This window comes from Homo sapiens, chromosome 12, assembly GCF_000001405.40.
Source record: "Homo sapiens chromosome 12, GRCh38.p14 Primary Assembly".
NCBI lineage: Eukaryota > Metazoa > Chordata > Mammalia > Primates > Hominidae > Homo > Homo sapiens.
Genome location: NC_000012.12, coordinates 95,161,303 through 95,178,284, shown reverse-complemented (window position 1 = coordinate 95,178,284; position 16,982 = coordinate 95,161,303). Strand labels below are relative to the sequence as shown.

General features: G+C 41.7%; 1 protein-coding gene across 1 annotated transcript in view; it reads left to right on the top strand.

Annotated features, from left to right (window-relative positions):
• Window positions 1–16,982, top strand: part of FGD6 (FYVE, RhoGEF and PH domain containing 6) — a 140,719-nt gene that overhangs the window by 39,183 nt on the left and 84,554 nt on the right. The window contains exon 3 of the mRNA NM_018351.4: window positions 5,541–5,685. Coding sequence (NP_060821.3) covers window positions 5,541–5,685 — 145 coding nt within the window. The remainder of the gene's footprint in view (window positions 1–5,540; window positions 5,686–16,982) is intronic.

Here is a 16,982-nt window from a genome sequence, read left to right as displayed (position 1 = left end):
TGAAAAACCTAAAAACATGATGTGCATACGTGACGGTTGCTTTTTGGAGGATGCAAATGGCCAACTATGCCTATTTCACAAGTCGTGCCATGTTTCCAAACTCATTTTGGTGGTAGACCTCAAGAACATTACTTGAGTAAGGGATGGAGAAAATTCTAGAATTGCTGTGTAATTGAGAAGACCTGAAAAGGAGAGTAAGAAGGATTTTTTAAATAGTTTTTTTTAGGCACGGTGGCTCATGCTGTCATCCCAGCACTTTGGGAGGCCAAGGCAGGAGGTTCATTTGAGGCCAGGAGTTCAAGAGCAGCCTGGGCAATGTAGGGAGAGACCCTGTCTGTACCAATAAATAAATAAATAAATAAATAAATAAATAAATTGTTGTTTAAAATTGATTTGATTCATGGTTTTACTGTGACAGTGGAATCTGCAGTCCTATAAGGGAACTGAAGTAACAGAAGGAAATGTTTCCTGGTAAAACAAAATAGAAATAATTTTTTGGTGAAAATTGTATACCAATTTTATAGTTAGTGTGCTATAATAACTACTAAATAACTTGAAATTTATTTTGCTAATTTAAAGCCCATAATGGTAGTTTTTTTCCCCTCATTCTGTGATAAATATGAAATGTGCCAAAGGAAACACATAATCACCAAGTCATAATGAGACAGCATTTGAAAAAAAATTATCACAACATCCTGAGGACAAGCAGGTTTCTGTTCAGTTTGGGCCAGGAGTAGAAAGAAGAGGAAGAGAAAGACCACAGAAGTTGAGATTTACATGTGGTGACTTGGAAATAAGAAAGAAACTTCTGAAGGTGAGGGAATTGGAAAGAACTTCTTTCTTCAAGCTTGGGAGGAATTACATGAAACATTCCTTGGTAAAGGGGCTCAGAATAAAACCACAGGCAAAAGAAGAAAAAGATAGCTGGAATTTGTCAACAACAGAGAAGCCATTCTTAACTCAGCTTTTCCTTTCCTTCTCTCGGCCATCCGATCCCTTATCCCTTCTCCTTGCTGGAATTTTTAATTTAGTAGGGGCTCAGAAGGATGTTTTTTGGTGAACCTGGCAGTTGCTATGCTGGCTTATCATTGTACAGGTTTTCTGTTCCTAAAAACTCTTAGAGGAAATGGATTTAGTATTTTTAAAAAAGATAATTCCACTGGGCATGGTGGCTCATGCCTGTAATCCCAGCATTTTGGGAGGCTGAGGCAGGCAGATCACCTGAGGCCAGGAGTTCAAGACCAGCCTGGCCAACATGGTGAAACCCCGTCTCTACTAAAAATACAAAAATTAGCTGGGCATGGTGGCGTACACCTATAGTCTCAGCTACTCAGGAGGCTGAGATGGGAGAATCGCTTGAACTAGGGAGGCGAGGTTGCAGTGAGCTGAGATCACACCACTGCACTCCAGCCTGGGTGACAGAGTGAGACTCCATCTCAAAAAATAATAATAAAATAAATTAAAATTTTAAAAGATAATTCCTTCTAAAAGAGAAGGACTTCACTTTAGTTGTGACTTATTACCTGAAAGAAAAATTTGATATACTTCCAGTGGAGGTGTGCTGTAAATATATAGAAACTAGCATATAGAAAAAAATAACTTTTAAAAAGTGATGGCATCATGTAGTCTTCACTTCAGATGTGTAGATGTTAGCATGTGGAATTGAAGGAAACAGTTACCCATCAGTAGGAATTTAAGTCTGGCTTTACTTGTTTGTCTTAATTCCAGTGCACTGGAAACAAACTGATTTTCTAGAAACTGTGGCTTCTTGCAGAAGCAAATCTGACTTAGGGTGCTTGGGGAAGTAGAGCCCACTCTTTGTTCTGGTTGCTGTTGGAGCTTACTTTCCTTTTACTTCAGATATCAAATTATGAACTAACTAGGCAGAAAGACGTGGAGGAAGCCCTATGTCCTGTTCCTTTACCCCACAAAGCAGACAGTCTTAGGATGTTATCATTCGGACAGTGGGAAGGAAATAAACAGAACTCCAAACTATACAATTGGCATTAGTAAGGAGTCCTTGTTTCATTATCAGAAATCTAAAATTGGCTGCATATGGTGGCTCATGCCTGTAATCCCAGCACTTTGGCAAGACTGAGGTGGGAGGATTGCTTGAGCCTGGGAGTTTGAGATCAGCCTGGGCAACACAGCAAGACCCTTGTCTATTTTTTCAAAAAAATAAAAATAGAAATCTAAAATTATCTAGGTAGATTCAGAAGCTGACAACAGTTGTTTGGGAAAATAGAGTAATTGTTTTAGAAATGAACATGTAAAATGTGGATCCTAGATTTTGCTGCTAAACCATTATCTTTCCTTTAAAATCTGCTCCCTTGTTTTAACATTTGTTTCAGTTCATGTCACCCTCATTCTGCTTGTGACTTGGACTTGACACCTTGATGTCTTCCATAAGTTTTTCCTCCTCACCCCTTTACCCTAAGTCCTGGTGATTTTTCTTTTTTTTTTTCTTTTTTTTTTTTTTTTTTTTGAGACAGAGTCTCACTCTGTTACCCAGGCTGGAGTGCAGTGACATAGTCTTGGCTCACTGCAACCTCCACCTCCCTGGTTCAAGCGATTCTCCTACCTCAGCCTCCTGAGTACTGCAACCTCTGCCTCTTGAGTTCCAGTGATTCTTCTGCCTCAGTCTCTCTAGTAGCTGGGATTACAGGCACATGCCACTGCACCCGGCTAAATTTTGTATTTTTAGTAGAGACAGGTTTAGCTCTGTTGGCCAGGCTTGTCTCAAACTCCTGGGCTCAAGCCATCCACCCACTTTGGCCTCCCAAAGTGCTGGGATTACAGGTGTGAGCCACCATACCCGGCCCTGATTTTTCTTCCTCTTACATCCATCCCTTTCTCTCAATTCCTGATGTAGCCACCCTGGTTCAGGCCACCTGCACCATTAAAATTCAACACCTGTTGCTTTCTGATATCATTTTCATTTATTTGGTGAAAAATTCTTGAGGGTCTCTTGTGTGTTGGGCTGTATGGTGAGGATTCAGCTGGAAAACACAATTTCAATTTCCTTGTCTTTGGAAATTTACATTTTAATGAGGGAAACAAGTCTACCACCAAGTGCAGTTTAGTGAGATAGTTAAAGGATTCAGAAGAGACACCAAAATCTCTCCTTGTTTCATGGCATTGTGTTTTGATTCATGTAGTTTTAATATTTAAAGCTTTTTTCTTGTTTTCAGATGTTCACTTTGTACTTTAATCCCTCTTGTATCCCTAATGGATGTGGCAACACCTAGTTACTATATTCTTAATAATAGCCTTCCAAATGATGTTTGACCAAGAAACACCTTTCACCCCTCTCTTCAGACAAAATAAACCTAATTTCTTTTTTTTTTTTTTTTTTTTGGAGATGGAGTCTCACTCTGTCGCCCAGGCTGGAGTGCAGTGGTGCAGCCTCGGCTCACTGCAAGCTCCGCCTCCCGGGTTCACGCCATTCTCTGCCTCAGCCTCCCGAGTAGCTGGGACTACAGGCGCCCTCCACCATGCCTGGCTAATATTTTGTATTTTTAGTAGAGACGGGGTTTCACCGTGTTAGCCAGGATGGTCTCGATCTCCTGACCTCGTGATCCACCCGCCTCAGCTTCCCAAAGTGCTGGGATTACAGGCGTGAGCCACCGCGCCTGGCCAAATAAACCTAATTTCTTCATAGGTGCCACAGCCCTATTACTAACTATCTGAATCTATTATACTTAGGAGTCTAAAACAGTACCCAGATGGGCTGGATCAAAAAGCCTTTTAGAGCAGAGCTTCTCACACATAGACTGGGATTTTGTTACAGCACGGATCCTGATTCGGTGGGTTGTGGGTGGCCTGAGCGTGTGTTTTCTGAGGAGCTTCCAGGTGATGCTGCTGCCGATTGGAAATTGAACATGTGTTGTGTTAACAGGGTTTTAGAAGATATAAAGAGATAAGGAATTACGATAAAAACAAGTGGTGGGGTACCTTTTCTTCTAGCTATATGGTTGGATCCTATAGTCTGTCCACCCTGTTAACTCTCATTTGCTCTCGCTAATCTCAGTCAACAATTAACTATCCGGCGGGGTTGGCTCTTATCCCTGCACCCAGAGACAGTGAATCCTGCCAGTGATCTAACCAGAAAGTTGCTATCCTCTATCCACCACTTACCCCCGGGGAGTGAGTCTCCTGCATGTCTTGGGGAGCTGTGATAAAGTATGCACCCACCTTACGAGGCTATGATATGACTCCCAGAGGCCCCAGCCATTGAGTAATGGAAAACCCCGTCTTTAGCAGTGAGAGGTGTTCCTTTTGGCACTGTGCCTCCAGCCAGCTGGTTTGTGTAACAGTTGGGCTCCAGGAATGGCTTCTGAGGCAAGTCTGTATCCTACCATGTGTAATCAGGAACTGGCAGAAAATTTATCTTTAGCTTTTAAGATTCCCATTAGAGATTCTCGTAACTTGTAACCTTGGCTGTTGAGTGACCTGCCTGTGACCTGCTGAAAGAGCCTGCCAGAGTGGAATGCAACTGTCTCCTTATTCTGCTTGAGTGTTTTTCCTGATGATTGTGGATCTTTTACTGACCCCACCTATACTCTTCTATTCTGCAGATATTCTTGTAGACTTACGACAGAAAAGCAGTTGCTACAGGCAATTGGCTCCTGAATCTTTCCAGCCAATGCTAGAAGGAATTATTTTCATCTCTTCTTAGGGAACTTTCCTATGGAATTCCCCCCACAGATTGGATTGCAACAGTGGCTTTTAGATTCATGAGATCTATATTAAAACAAACGGAGGAACCTTGATGATATCAGGCTGGCAAGGAGGAATTGGTAAATGGCCTGGCTCTGTGGTTTTCCAAGTTCAGCTTGTATCAGAATCACCTGGAAAGCATTAAACAAGCTTACTTATTATTTGCTAGGCCCTGTGCCCCAGGTAGTTGTAATTGCTGGGCAAATTGCTGGGCCCTGGGCCCCTCGTAGTTCTAATGCAGCAGGTCTTGAGCATAATCTGAGAATTTGTAACATTTCCTCTTCCTCCCCATGTCTTGTGAACAGAACAGTGATAACCATAGAGCAGGGTACATGTTCACAGTTGCACCTGCACTGTTGATTGTCGTCACCATTATTACCCCCGAGTCCTCATAGATTTGTTACTTGTTTTTTGTTGTTGTTTTAAACACCAAGGCCCAAGGAAACAGCAATTCTTCTGGTATACCTGGCAGCCTTTTATGGTAAACCAGCTCACTTTCTGTAAAGCTTCTTAGTTTATTCTAGGAGTAGAGACCTGATCTTCTTTGGGAGGGATATATAGAAGCATAGGATGGGAGCAGCTGGGAAACTTGCTTCCCACCCACCTTCTTAACATTAAAAATTCAAAAAATTAATTTGAGTTTTTGGCAGCTGAGACAGGGTGAAGGAAGGGAAAGTTGGCTGATCTGGGTCTTTTCATTCTTCCACATCCCTTAGATATATCTTGTTTGCATTATGAAGATAAGATGTTGATTTGGTTTTTGTTTTGCTAGCACTTCTTATTATTGAAGGTGACTAATACCTGCTTTCTGTTGAATGCAGTTCAGGAGCATCCCAGGAGGAACAGAATGATCTTGGTCTTGGTGACCTTCCCTCTGATGAGGAGGAAATCATCAACAGTTCTGATGAAGATGATGTCAGCTCTGAGTCAAGTAAAGGAGAGCCTGACCCACTGGAAGATAAACAGGTATACTTTGGTACTTAATTGCTTCTTGACCTCTCCCTATGCTTGGGAATGATATTTGTCTGCATAATAGGCACAGAAACCCTTGTGAGTTTTCTTAAAACTTATAAAACACTTTCAAAATTTAAATTTAATTCCTGCTATAATGTGGCACCTAAAATATTCTCATGTTACCAAGTATGTATCACTTAGAGATTACTTAGTGATTTTTGAGAAATTATTATTTTGAGACAGAGTCTTGCTCTGTTGCCCAGGCTGGAGTGCAATGGCGCCATCTCAGCTCACTGCAACCTTTACCTCCCGGGTTCAAGCCATCCTCCTGCCTCAGCATCCCAAGTGCCTGGCATTACAGACACCTGCCACCACGCCTGGCTAATTTTTGTGTTTTTAGTAGAGACGGGGTTTCACTATGTTGGCCAGGCTGGCCTCAAACTCCTGACCTCAAGTGATCCACCCGCCTCAGCCTCCCAAAGTGCTGGGATTACAGGCGTGAGCCATGGTGCCAGGCAAAGAAATTCTTTTTCCTAATGTCCAATGGCTTGCTTTTTGATAACAACCCCCCCCCCCTTAGAATTGTTCCCTGTACTGCTACCAATTTTTTGTAGATTTTTTTGAAATAAAGAAATTATATGCATTTTAGACTCAAATTATTTTGGGAAAGAATAAAGATGGCTGTTAATAGTACATCATCATTTGCTTTGAAATAATCCAGTGTGTGTATGAGTTTGGGGGGAGCACAGCATACATGAAGATTGTCTATGTGTTCAGAGTTGTTTAAGATGCATGAGGGCTGGGCACGGTGGTTCACACCTATAATCCCAGCACTTTGGGAGACCGAGGGGGGTGGATCATGAGGTCAGGAGATCAAGACCATCCTGGCTAATGCAGTGAAACCCCATCTCTACTAAAAATACAAAAAATTAGCCGACCATGGTGGTGGGCACCTGTAGTCCCAGCCACTCAGGAGGCTGAGGCGGGAGAATGGCGTGAACCCGGGAGGCGGAGCTTGCAGTGAGCCGAGATCACGCCACTGCACTCCAGCCTGGGTGACAGAGTGAGACTCCGTCTCAAAAAAGATGCATGATGCAGGGGTTCATTATAATGTCTCTCTAGTTTGGCATGAATATATTTATCTCTTTCATTTGAAACCACATTTTTTAAGAGACATTATTAAAGGGAAAAAGTTAGTACATCAACAATATCCCCAGGAATGTTACAGCAATATGGAATTTGAAAAGATCCACATAGCATAGCAAGCCATGGAGAAAATTCATGTGCCATAATTTCGCCTAATTCCTGTGCCATAATTTTATCAATCTATTGTTCTTCCTGTTTAATATTTTTGCCCTGTTTAAATTTATCTTCAGGCTTAAATGAATGGCCCACGTGCAGCAGTCTGAATTTAAGTCCCAGATCCACCAGCTATGATCTGGTCAACTTTGGGCCAATTATTTAACCTTTTGGGACTAAAGAGTACCATTTTATAGATAAAAAAAAGAATAGTACTCATAGAATTGTGAAGATTAAATAATCTGATACATGGAAAGCATTAGAATATTGATCGGCACATAATAGCTCAGTGATCATTTATTTATAACTAGCCAGACTTCATTTCTATGCTGTGAAGTATTAAATCATGGTGTTGGGAATAACCACTATAAATTACTTAGGCTAGTGAATTTGTAAAACCCCTAAGACAGATGAGTGACTCTCTTCTTAAAGACCCACAGCACTCAGCAATGTATAGATTTTACTTTGACTATCAAGTAATTCCTTTTGTGTCTTACTGGTGTCTGTCTTGCTTTAATTTGAAAGCTCGTTTTCCATGTTGCAGCTTCATGGACATAGATTCTACAAATGTTTATAGAATTTGCACTATGTTCCAGGTACCACTGGTATTTACTAGAGATAAGCAGTACTCAGGTTCTAAGCTTCTATGTAGCCAACGTTCTTTTCTTTTGAGAAGGAGTTTCGCTCTTGTTGCCCAGGCTGGAGTACAATGGCGCGATCTCGGCTCACTGCAACCTCTGCCTCCCGGGTTCAAGTGATCCTCCTGCCTCAGCCTCCTGAGGAGCTGGAATTACAGGCACCCATCACCATACCCAGCTAATTTTTGTATTTTTAGTAGAGACGGGGTTTCACTATGTTGGCCAGGCTGGTCTCGAACTCCTGACCTCAGGTAATCCACACACCTCGGGCCTCCCAAAGTGCTAACACTACAGGCATGAGCCACCCTGCCCGGCCTAGCCTATGTTCTAACAGGATAAGAGGAACCTACTGTGCTTAATCATAATCAGGAAGAACTTCAGAGTGTTACAAGCTATGAAGGAAACAAATCAGAGTGATGTGCTACAAACCCAGGAAGGTACTTTGGGAAAAAGCCTCTTAGAAAATGATATTTGCCTGGGATTTAAATGACTGGAAAGAACCAAAGCCTGTGAAGAATTTGAGGAAGAACATTCAAATTGTCTTCTTTTTTTTTGAGACGGAGTCTTGCTCTGTCTCCCAGGCTGGAGTGCAGTGGCACTATCTCGGCTCACTGCAACCTCCACCTTCCAGGTTCAAGCGATTCTCCTGCCTCAGCCTCCCGAGTAGCTGGGATTATGGGCACCCACCACCATACCTGGCTAATTTTTGTATTTTTAATAGAGAAGGAGTTTCACCATGTTGGCCAGGCTGGTCTTAAACTACTGACCTCAGGTGATCCACCCGCCTCAGCCTCCCAAAGTGCTGGGATTACAGGTGTGAGCCACCACGCCTGGCCTCAAATTGTCTTCTTGAGGGCCATAATTAAATCAATCCTGACTCTCTTTGAAAAGCAACTCCCAAGTTTTTTCTTTTCCTAGCAGACACTCTTTTCTATTGTTTTGGTCTAGTTGTTTGTTTTGCGTGAATCTTTTCCCATTTCTTTCCATACTTCTTGGAGCACTGACCAAAATTGGTTTCCACATTCTATCAGGGATCTCACTGATACATCGTATAAAGGAAGGATTAATCTTTAACCCAGCAGTGTTATGTCTGTTTCCAACACATCCTGTGATAACACCGCCTGGTTGACTCACTCATTCTGTGGGCAGTGGAGACTCCCAGGGTTCCTTCCTCTGCGTTTGTGCCTGCCTTTCCTTTCCCTTCCTGTATTTATATTACTGTTTTATGTTATTAGTTGTGCTATATTGCAGTAGCCCTGTTAAATTTTTATCCTTTTTTTTTTTAAAGGACTATTTCTTTAGTTAATCATGGACATTGTTTTTAGTGCAACAGAGTACATTTATTTTTTTCATCATCTCAAGCATTTACCAAGCCTTTATGTGATTGTGTTACAGACATTCCCATTATACTCTTATTTTAAAATATACAATAAATTGTTGACTGTAATAACTCTGTTGTGCTATCAAATACTAGATTTTGTTCATTCTATCTAACTGTGTTTTTGTACCCATTAAATATTCCCAATACCCTCCACCCCTAATTATGGACATTGAACATTTTTTACCTGATGCCACTAGTACTAATAATTTCCCTCCTTTAGAATTCTCAGCCACGCTAATGAATTTTCTCTTTCTGTCTCTTCATCTGAGACAACAATAGCACTAATAGAATAGTCTCTTTCTTTCCAGACACTTGTTAATCCATCTGGCCACAGCCTGGTGAATGCCCTTCTCTTAAGTAATTTGCTTTCATAGTTGTTAGAACACGGTCTTTGGAGTCAGATTGCCTGGGTTCCCACCACTTACTAGCTCTGTGATCTTGAACAACTTACTTAATTTTACTTTGCCTTAGTTTCCCCATCTGTAAAAAGAAGAGGAAAAAAAGTGGACACTTGACTTTATTTTCTAAGATTGTTGTGATTATTAAGTGATTATACACTGTTTAGAACAGAGCTTAACACAAAGTGAATGCTTAGTAGATTTTTACCTATTATTGATTTTTTTTTTTTTTAAGATGAAGTTTCACTCTTGTCTCCCAGGCTGGAGTGCAGTGGTGTGATCTCGGCTCACTGCAACCTCTGCTTCCAGGGTTCAAGTGATTCTCTTGCCTGAGCCTCCTGAGTAGCTGGGATTACAGGCATGCGCCACTACACCCAGCTGATTTTGTATTTTTAGTAGAGACGGAGTTTCTCCATGTTGGTCACGCTGGTCTCAAACTCCTGACCTCAGGTTATCTGCCCACATTGGCCTCCCAAAGTGCCGGGATTACAGGCGTGATCCACCGCGCCTGGCTGCTATTAACGATTTTTATGAAAATAAGCAAGCCAAATCTTAAACATCTCAAATCAAGCTTTCTGTAATCTTACCAATAAATATATTGTTTCTGGCTTGGCTTTTCTTATCTTTGATGAGTAAATATGAAACTTATTTACATGTAAGGTAGTATTTTGTTTAATGGGAAAACTTGAAATTTGGCATCCTAAGACCTGGGTTTTAGTCTTAGATTTGTCACTTACTAACTGTATGACCTTGGTCGAGTAATTTTTTAAAGTCAGTTTATTTACACGAGTATCACTTCACAATTGACTTCAGGTGACTTAAAAAAAATGTGTGTAATACAAAAAGTCAAAATGTTTTTTTTAAAGAAATCAGGTTGTCAACATATAAATGGTGCTGGAATCACTGGATATCCACCTGCAAAAGGATGACATTGGACCCCCTTCCTTTCAACATACACAAAAACTAACTCAAAATGGATTATAGACCTAAATGTAACAACTCAGGCCCAGTGCGGTGGTTTGGCTGGGCGCGGGGGCTCACACCTGTAATCCCAGCACTTTGGGAGGTCGAGGCGGGCAGATCACTTGAGGTCAGGAGTTCGATACCAGTCTGGCCAACATGGTGAAATCCCATCTCTACTAAAAATACAAAAATTAGCCCTGTGTGTTGGTGCATGCCTGTAATCCTAGCTACTCAGGAGGCTGAGGCAGGAGAATTGCTTGAACCCGGGTTGCGGAGGTTGCAGTGAGCCGAGATCACACCATTGCAGTCCAACCTGGGTGACAGAGCTAGACTCCATCTCAAAAAAAAAAAAAAACCTCAAACAGTAAAAAGATCAATCACCCAGGCTTAAGAATCTGAATAGACTAAAGAAGATATACAGTGGCCAATAAAGATGTAAAAAGGTGTTCAACATCATAAGCCGTTAAAGAAATACAAAGCAATGCTTCAGTGAGGTACCACTGCACACCCACTAGGGTAGCCATAATCAAGAAGATGTACAGTAACAACTGCTAGTCAGGATGTGGAGAAATGGGAGTCCTTATAGGATCTAAAATGGTGCAGCCACTTTGGAAAACAGTCTGGCAGCTCTGAAAAGTTTAAATGTAGAGTTACCATATGACCTAGCAATGCTACTCTTAGGTATCCACCCAAGAGATATGAAAGCATATGTCCACACAAAAACTTGTAGAGGAATGTTCATAACAGCATTATTCATAATAGTCAAAAAAGTAGAAAGGGCCAGGTGCAGTGGCTCATGCCTGTAATCCCAGCACTTTGCGAGGCCAAGGTGGGCAGATCACTAGGTCAGGAGTTCGGGAGCAGCTTGACCAACATGGTGAAATCCCGTCTCTACTAAAAGTACATAAATTAGCCAGGTGTGGTGGTGCACATCTGTAATTCCAGCTACTTGGGAGGCTGAGGCAGGAGAATTGCTTGAACCCGGGAGGTAGAGGTTGCAGCAAGCCAAGGTCATGCCACTGTACTCCATCCTGGCCAACAGAGTGAGACTCTGACTCAAAAAAAAAAAAAAAAAAAAGTAGAAAGAACCCAAATACTAATCAAATGATGAGTGGATAAACTAAATGCTTTATATTCCTACAATGGAATACTATTCAGCCATAAAATAGGAATGAGGAATGACTGATAATGGGCATGGAGTTTCTTTTTATTTATTTATTTATTTTTTTTGAGATGGGGTCTCGCTCTGTCACCCAGGCTGGAGTGCAGTAGTGAGATCATGGCTCACTGCAGCTTCAACCTCCTTGACTCAAGTGATCTCTCGTCCCTTCCTCCTTAGTAGCTAGGATTACAGGTATACACAACCATGCCCGGCTAATTTTTTTTTTTAAAGACATGGTCTTGCCATGTTGCCCAGGCTGGCATCCAACTCCTGGCTTCAAGCAATCCTCCTGCCTTGGCCTCCCAAAGTGTTGGGATTATAGGCATGGGCCACTGCACCTGGCCTGAATTGTATGCTTTAAAAGGGTAAAAACCTATTTTGTAGTATATGAATTATATCTCAACAAAGCTGTTATAAAATAAACCTTGCTGAAGGAAAAACAATAGTGCTAATGGAAGATTTGTACAGAGTAATGTATATCATGTAGTCCTATTCATTAGCTGAGGATGGGCCACAAATTTGGCTTTCTAGCAACTCAGGAAAAGTCGGTGATATCAGGCTGGGTATGGTGGCTCATGCCTATAATCCTAGCACTTTGGGAGGCCAAGGAAGGAGGATAGCTTGAGACCAGGCTGGGCAACATAGTGAGACCTTGTCTCTACAAAAAATAAACAAGATTAGCCAGGTGTGGTGGGGCAAGCCCCTGGGAAGTTGAAGCTACAGTGAGCTATATTCAGGCCACTGCACTCCAGTCTGCACTCCAGCCTGAGCAACAGAGCAAGACCCTATTGAAAAAAAAAAAAAAAACAGAAAAAGAAAAAACAAGCCAGGCATGGTGGCTCACACCTGTAATCTCAGGACTTTGGGAGGCTGAGGTGGACAGATCTCTTGAGCCCAGGAGTTCGAGACCAATCTGGACAACATGGCAAAACCCCATGCCTACAAAAAAAAAACAGACACAAAAAATTAGCCAGGTATGGTGGTTCATGCCTGTAGTCCCAGCTACTCAGGAGGCTAAAGTGGAAGGATCACTTGAACCTAGGAAATGGAGGTTGCAGTGAGTGGAGGTCATGCCACAGCATTCCAGCCTGGGCAACAGGGAGGCCTCATCTCACTTAGGAAAAAACAAAATTGGCCGGGCGCGGTGGCTCATGCCTGTAATCTTAGCACTTTGGGAGGCTGAGGCTGGCGGATCACCTGAGGTCGGGAGTTCGAGACCAGCCTGACCACCATGGAGAAACCAACCTGTCTCTACTAAAAATAAAAAAAATTAGCCAGGCGTGGTGGTGCATGCCTGTAATCCCAGCTACTCAGGAGGCTGAGGTAGTAGAATCCCTTGAACCCAGGAGGCGGAGGTTGCAGTGAGCCGAGATCGCACCATTGCTCTCCAGCCTGGGCTACAAGAGTGAAACACTGTCTCAAAAAAAAAAAAAAGAAAAAAAGAAAATTGATACACATCTGACATAGGTACTGTTTTTCTTCATGTTGCATGAAGAAAAGGAGTCTTATACAAGTTAAGTAACTTGCCTTGGAACCCCAAGTTGGGGTTTTTAACCCAATCTGTCTCTACTAACAACTTGGTACAGCCATGGAAGCTGAATGATGTCAATGAAACATGTTGAGGTGAAATACCTAGCCATGCTGATCTGTCCTGTTCCCTTTTCTAAATTTTTATTTTTATAGTTTTTGGTCTTTCCTTTCAGGGCTTAAATGCTTGTTTAAAAAGTAAGATGTATTTATTCTACTTGTTTGTGGTTAGAATATTCATCGTCTTCATCTTTCTTATATATTGATTTCCTTGTTTTTTTAAAAAATCTTTGTAAAGTAGCTCATATGATACATACTTTCATAAAGAAAGGGCGAAAACCTAAGAGAGCATTGTTTAGAGATTAATCATGATGTCACCTCATTTTTGAAATAACTTAATGATAAAGAGATGTTTCTCAGGCAGTCTGGATGTTAACATTTTTTGTTTTTTATTAGAACTCTAGAGTAGGATAGAAGAGGCCTTTTAATAATTCTATTAAAAAGTAATGGATAGGCTGGGCATGGTGCCTCCTGCCTGTAATCCCAGCACTATGGGAGGTCCAGGTGGGTGGATCACTTGAGGTCAGAAGTTCGAGACCAGCCTGGCCAACATGGTGAAACTCCATCTCTACTAAAAATACAAAAATTAGCTAGGCACAGCAGTGTGTACCTGTAGTCCCAGCTGCTCGGGAGACTGAAGCAGGAGAATTGCTTGAACCCGGGAGGTGGAGGTTGCAGTGAGCTGAGATTCCCGCCACTGCAGTCCAGCCTGGGTGATAGAGCAAGACTCTGTCTCAAAAAAAAAAGGAATGGATAAATTTCACTGAATGTCACTTGTAGTGAACACATATGATAAGAACACAATTAAGAATTTACAAAGCTGCTGAGGCAGGAGAATGGCGTGAACCAGGGAGGCGGAGCTTGCCGTGAGCCGAGATCGTGCCACTGCACTCCAGCCTGGGTGACAGAGCGAGACTCCGTCTCAAAAAAAAAAAAAGGAAGGAAAAAAAAAAAAAGAATTTACAAAGCTGGGCTAGCGTCAAGAGATTGGAACATAAAACTAGATTTCAGATCAAAGGTTCTGTTTTGGAATTTGTTTGACTTATTTTATGACCTTGACAAAGTTATTTCATTTGTGGCTCATGTTTCAACTTCCACAACAGTGTACTTTTGGGAGACGCTGTTATTTAACAGGGAACTGCTTTGAAATGCAATGTAATTTAAGTGAGGATTTTCATTAGCTGAAAAGTTGAGATGCCATGGGGTGTGTGTTTTTCCATCGCTGTTTGACTTGGGTCACAATCAGTCATTGTTCTTACAAGTTGGAGATAATATAGAGCTTTTAATTTTTTTTTAATTTATATTTGACTTTCTGTCCACTTTGAAGATGATTATAATCCATTGACTTATTTCTAATAATTTTTATACCTCTTTATTTAGCTCTGTAGCTTTCCTGGTTTAGAAGGTAAAATGGACAATGGAATATATAGACTCCTAGAACCTTAGAATTGGAAAAGACCTTAATCATTTAGTCCAACCTCCTACTCTTTTATGTGATTAAAGCTTTTAGTTCATTCGAGTTTGCATTTTTGTGTTATGCAACACATCTTCAAAAGCAATATGCTCTGTCTCAGATTCTGAGAAGGTGGCAGCCATCCTTATACACATTTGCTTATTCGTAAATATTAATTGCACAGTGGACCAAGCAGCGTGCTATGTGCAGAAGGATACAGGGTGAATTAGATCGGAGACTAGAGGGAATTCAGACATTTCAGCAAGTAAACACAGTCTACTGGGTTAAGTCCTATAAATATTACATGAATAAGAAAATTATCTTGTCCTTTGATAGTAGGAGGGAAAGAATGTCAAGGGAGCCATCATAAAAAAAAAGTTGGAGTGTTGTCTTAAAGGACGTTTGGAATATGAAAGGCAGAAATCTTCAGGGAGAAGGAGAAGTGCTGGGGAAGCAAGTCAAGGCAAAAGGAAAGGTATATGCGCAAAGGGACAGACACAGAAGGGGAGAGCATGGCTGGAGTTGCAGCGTGGTGGGTTAGAGAGTACACAGTGTGGAGGAGGAGGGAGAAGCCTGGTGAAGGTGAGTGGACATGTTGAGAAATGCCTAATACCCTTGGCGAAAGAAACTTGAATCTTTGTTATCCATCTGTGATAGGGAGCTGCTAACATTTAGCCTGAGAACTAACCTGGTTATATTTGCATTTTAGAAATATTCTAGTGGCAGTGTACAGAAGGGGTTGCAGTGGGGTAAACACAGAGCCAAGGAAACCTTTTAGGTTGCTGTAATAGTGAGGGCAAGAGGTAAGGAGGCAACATCAAAGGAGAGGAAAGGATCATTTAAGCTTTAAATCTTCGGGACACATTGATAGGACTTGACTCAGTTGTAATAATAAAAGGTGACTATGGGGACAAAAAAGAAGAGTCCAGGTTTCTGGCATTAATGAGTTGGTATCTACAGTAGCTAGTATAGGAGTAGCTGATGGATTGTGTTTAAACGGTGATTTGGAGTCATCAAATGCTTTATTCTTTGTGAAGCCTTTCCTGATTGACACACCTCTGCCTGATTATGGTCTTTCTCTTCTTCAAGGTGGCAGCACTTTTCATAGTTGTGCTTATATGTAGTTATTTGTATGTTCAGTTCGTTTCCATTGTTCACTTCTTGAAGGCTGGGGCTATTTATTTATTTATTCATTCAATTTTTAGACAGAATCTCACTCTGTCACCCAGGCTGGAGAGTACAGTGGCGCAATCTTGACTTACTGCAGCCTCCGCCTCTCAGGTTTAAGTGACTCTCATGCTTCAGCCTCCCAAGTAGCTGGGACTACAGGTATGCACCACTGTCGGCGCCCAGCTAGTTTTTGTATTTTCAGTAGAGACAGGGTTACACCATGTTGGCCAGGTTGGTCTTGAACTCCTGGCCTCAAGTGATCCACCTGTCTCAGCCTCCCAAAGTGCTGGGATTACAGGTGTGAGCCACCGCACCTGGCCAACTGGGGCTATTCTTATTTATCATAGTCCCCTGCAGCCTTGAACTCCTGGGCTCATGTGATCCTCCTACCTCAGTCTCTCAAGTGATTAGGAACTACAGGCACATGCCACCATGCCTGGCTTTTTTTTTTTTTTTTTTTGTATTTTTCAGGTGTCACTATGTTGTCCTTGCTGGCCTTGAATTCCTGGCCTCAAGTGATCCTCCTGCCTCCCAAAATGTTGAGATTACAAATGTGAACCATGGTGCCCTGTGTAATTCCTTCTTCTAACACCTACTTTTAATGCTCCATTTTAGACCTACACAATCAGAATTTCTAAGACAGTACCTGGGAATCTGAAATTTAAGATCTGCCTGTGATTCTAATGATCACTAATGTTTTCAAATTTATATGTAGAGCAGTGAATGGGCGGGTGGTAGAACAGTTTTTTCTTATTAACTTTGCTATCAAATGACAGAAAGTCAGTTACTAACTTCAGATTTTAAAATGAAAGTGTAAAGATGGTACTGACATCTTTCTCTTGAAAATGATCTCAGAATAACAAGGAGAAGAAATATGAATTCTGTGCTCAGTGACATTAGGAGACAGAAGAAAACCCTGTCGACCTAATGGGAAAAAAAATGAGCAAACTTAATGTAAGTAGAGAGTTTATTTGGGTCAAATTTGAGGACTACAAGCCTGGAGCATAGATCCAAGACTCCTGTTAGGAGCAGTTACAAGTGGGTTTTTTGTTTTGTTTTGTTTTTGAGACAGAGTCTTGCTCTTTTGCCCAGGCTGGAGTACAGTGGTGTGATCTCGGCTCACTGCAACCTCTGCCTCCTGGGTTCTAGTGATTCTCCTGCCTTAGGCTACCTAGTAGCTGGGATTACAGGCACTTGCCACTACGCCTGGCTAATTTTTGTATTTTTAGTGGAGACGGGGTTTTACCATGTTGGCCAG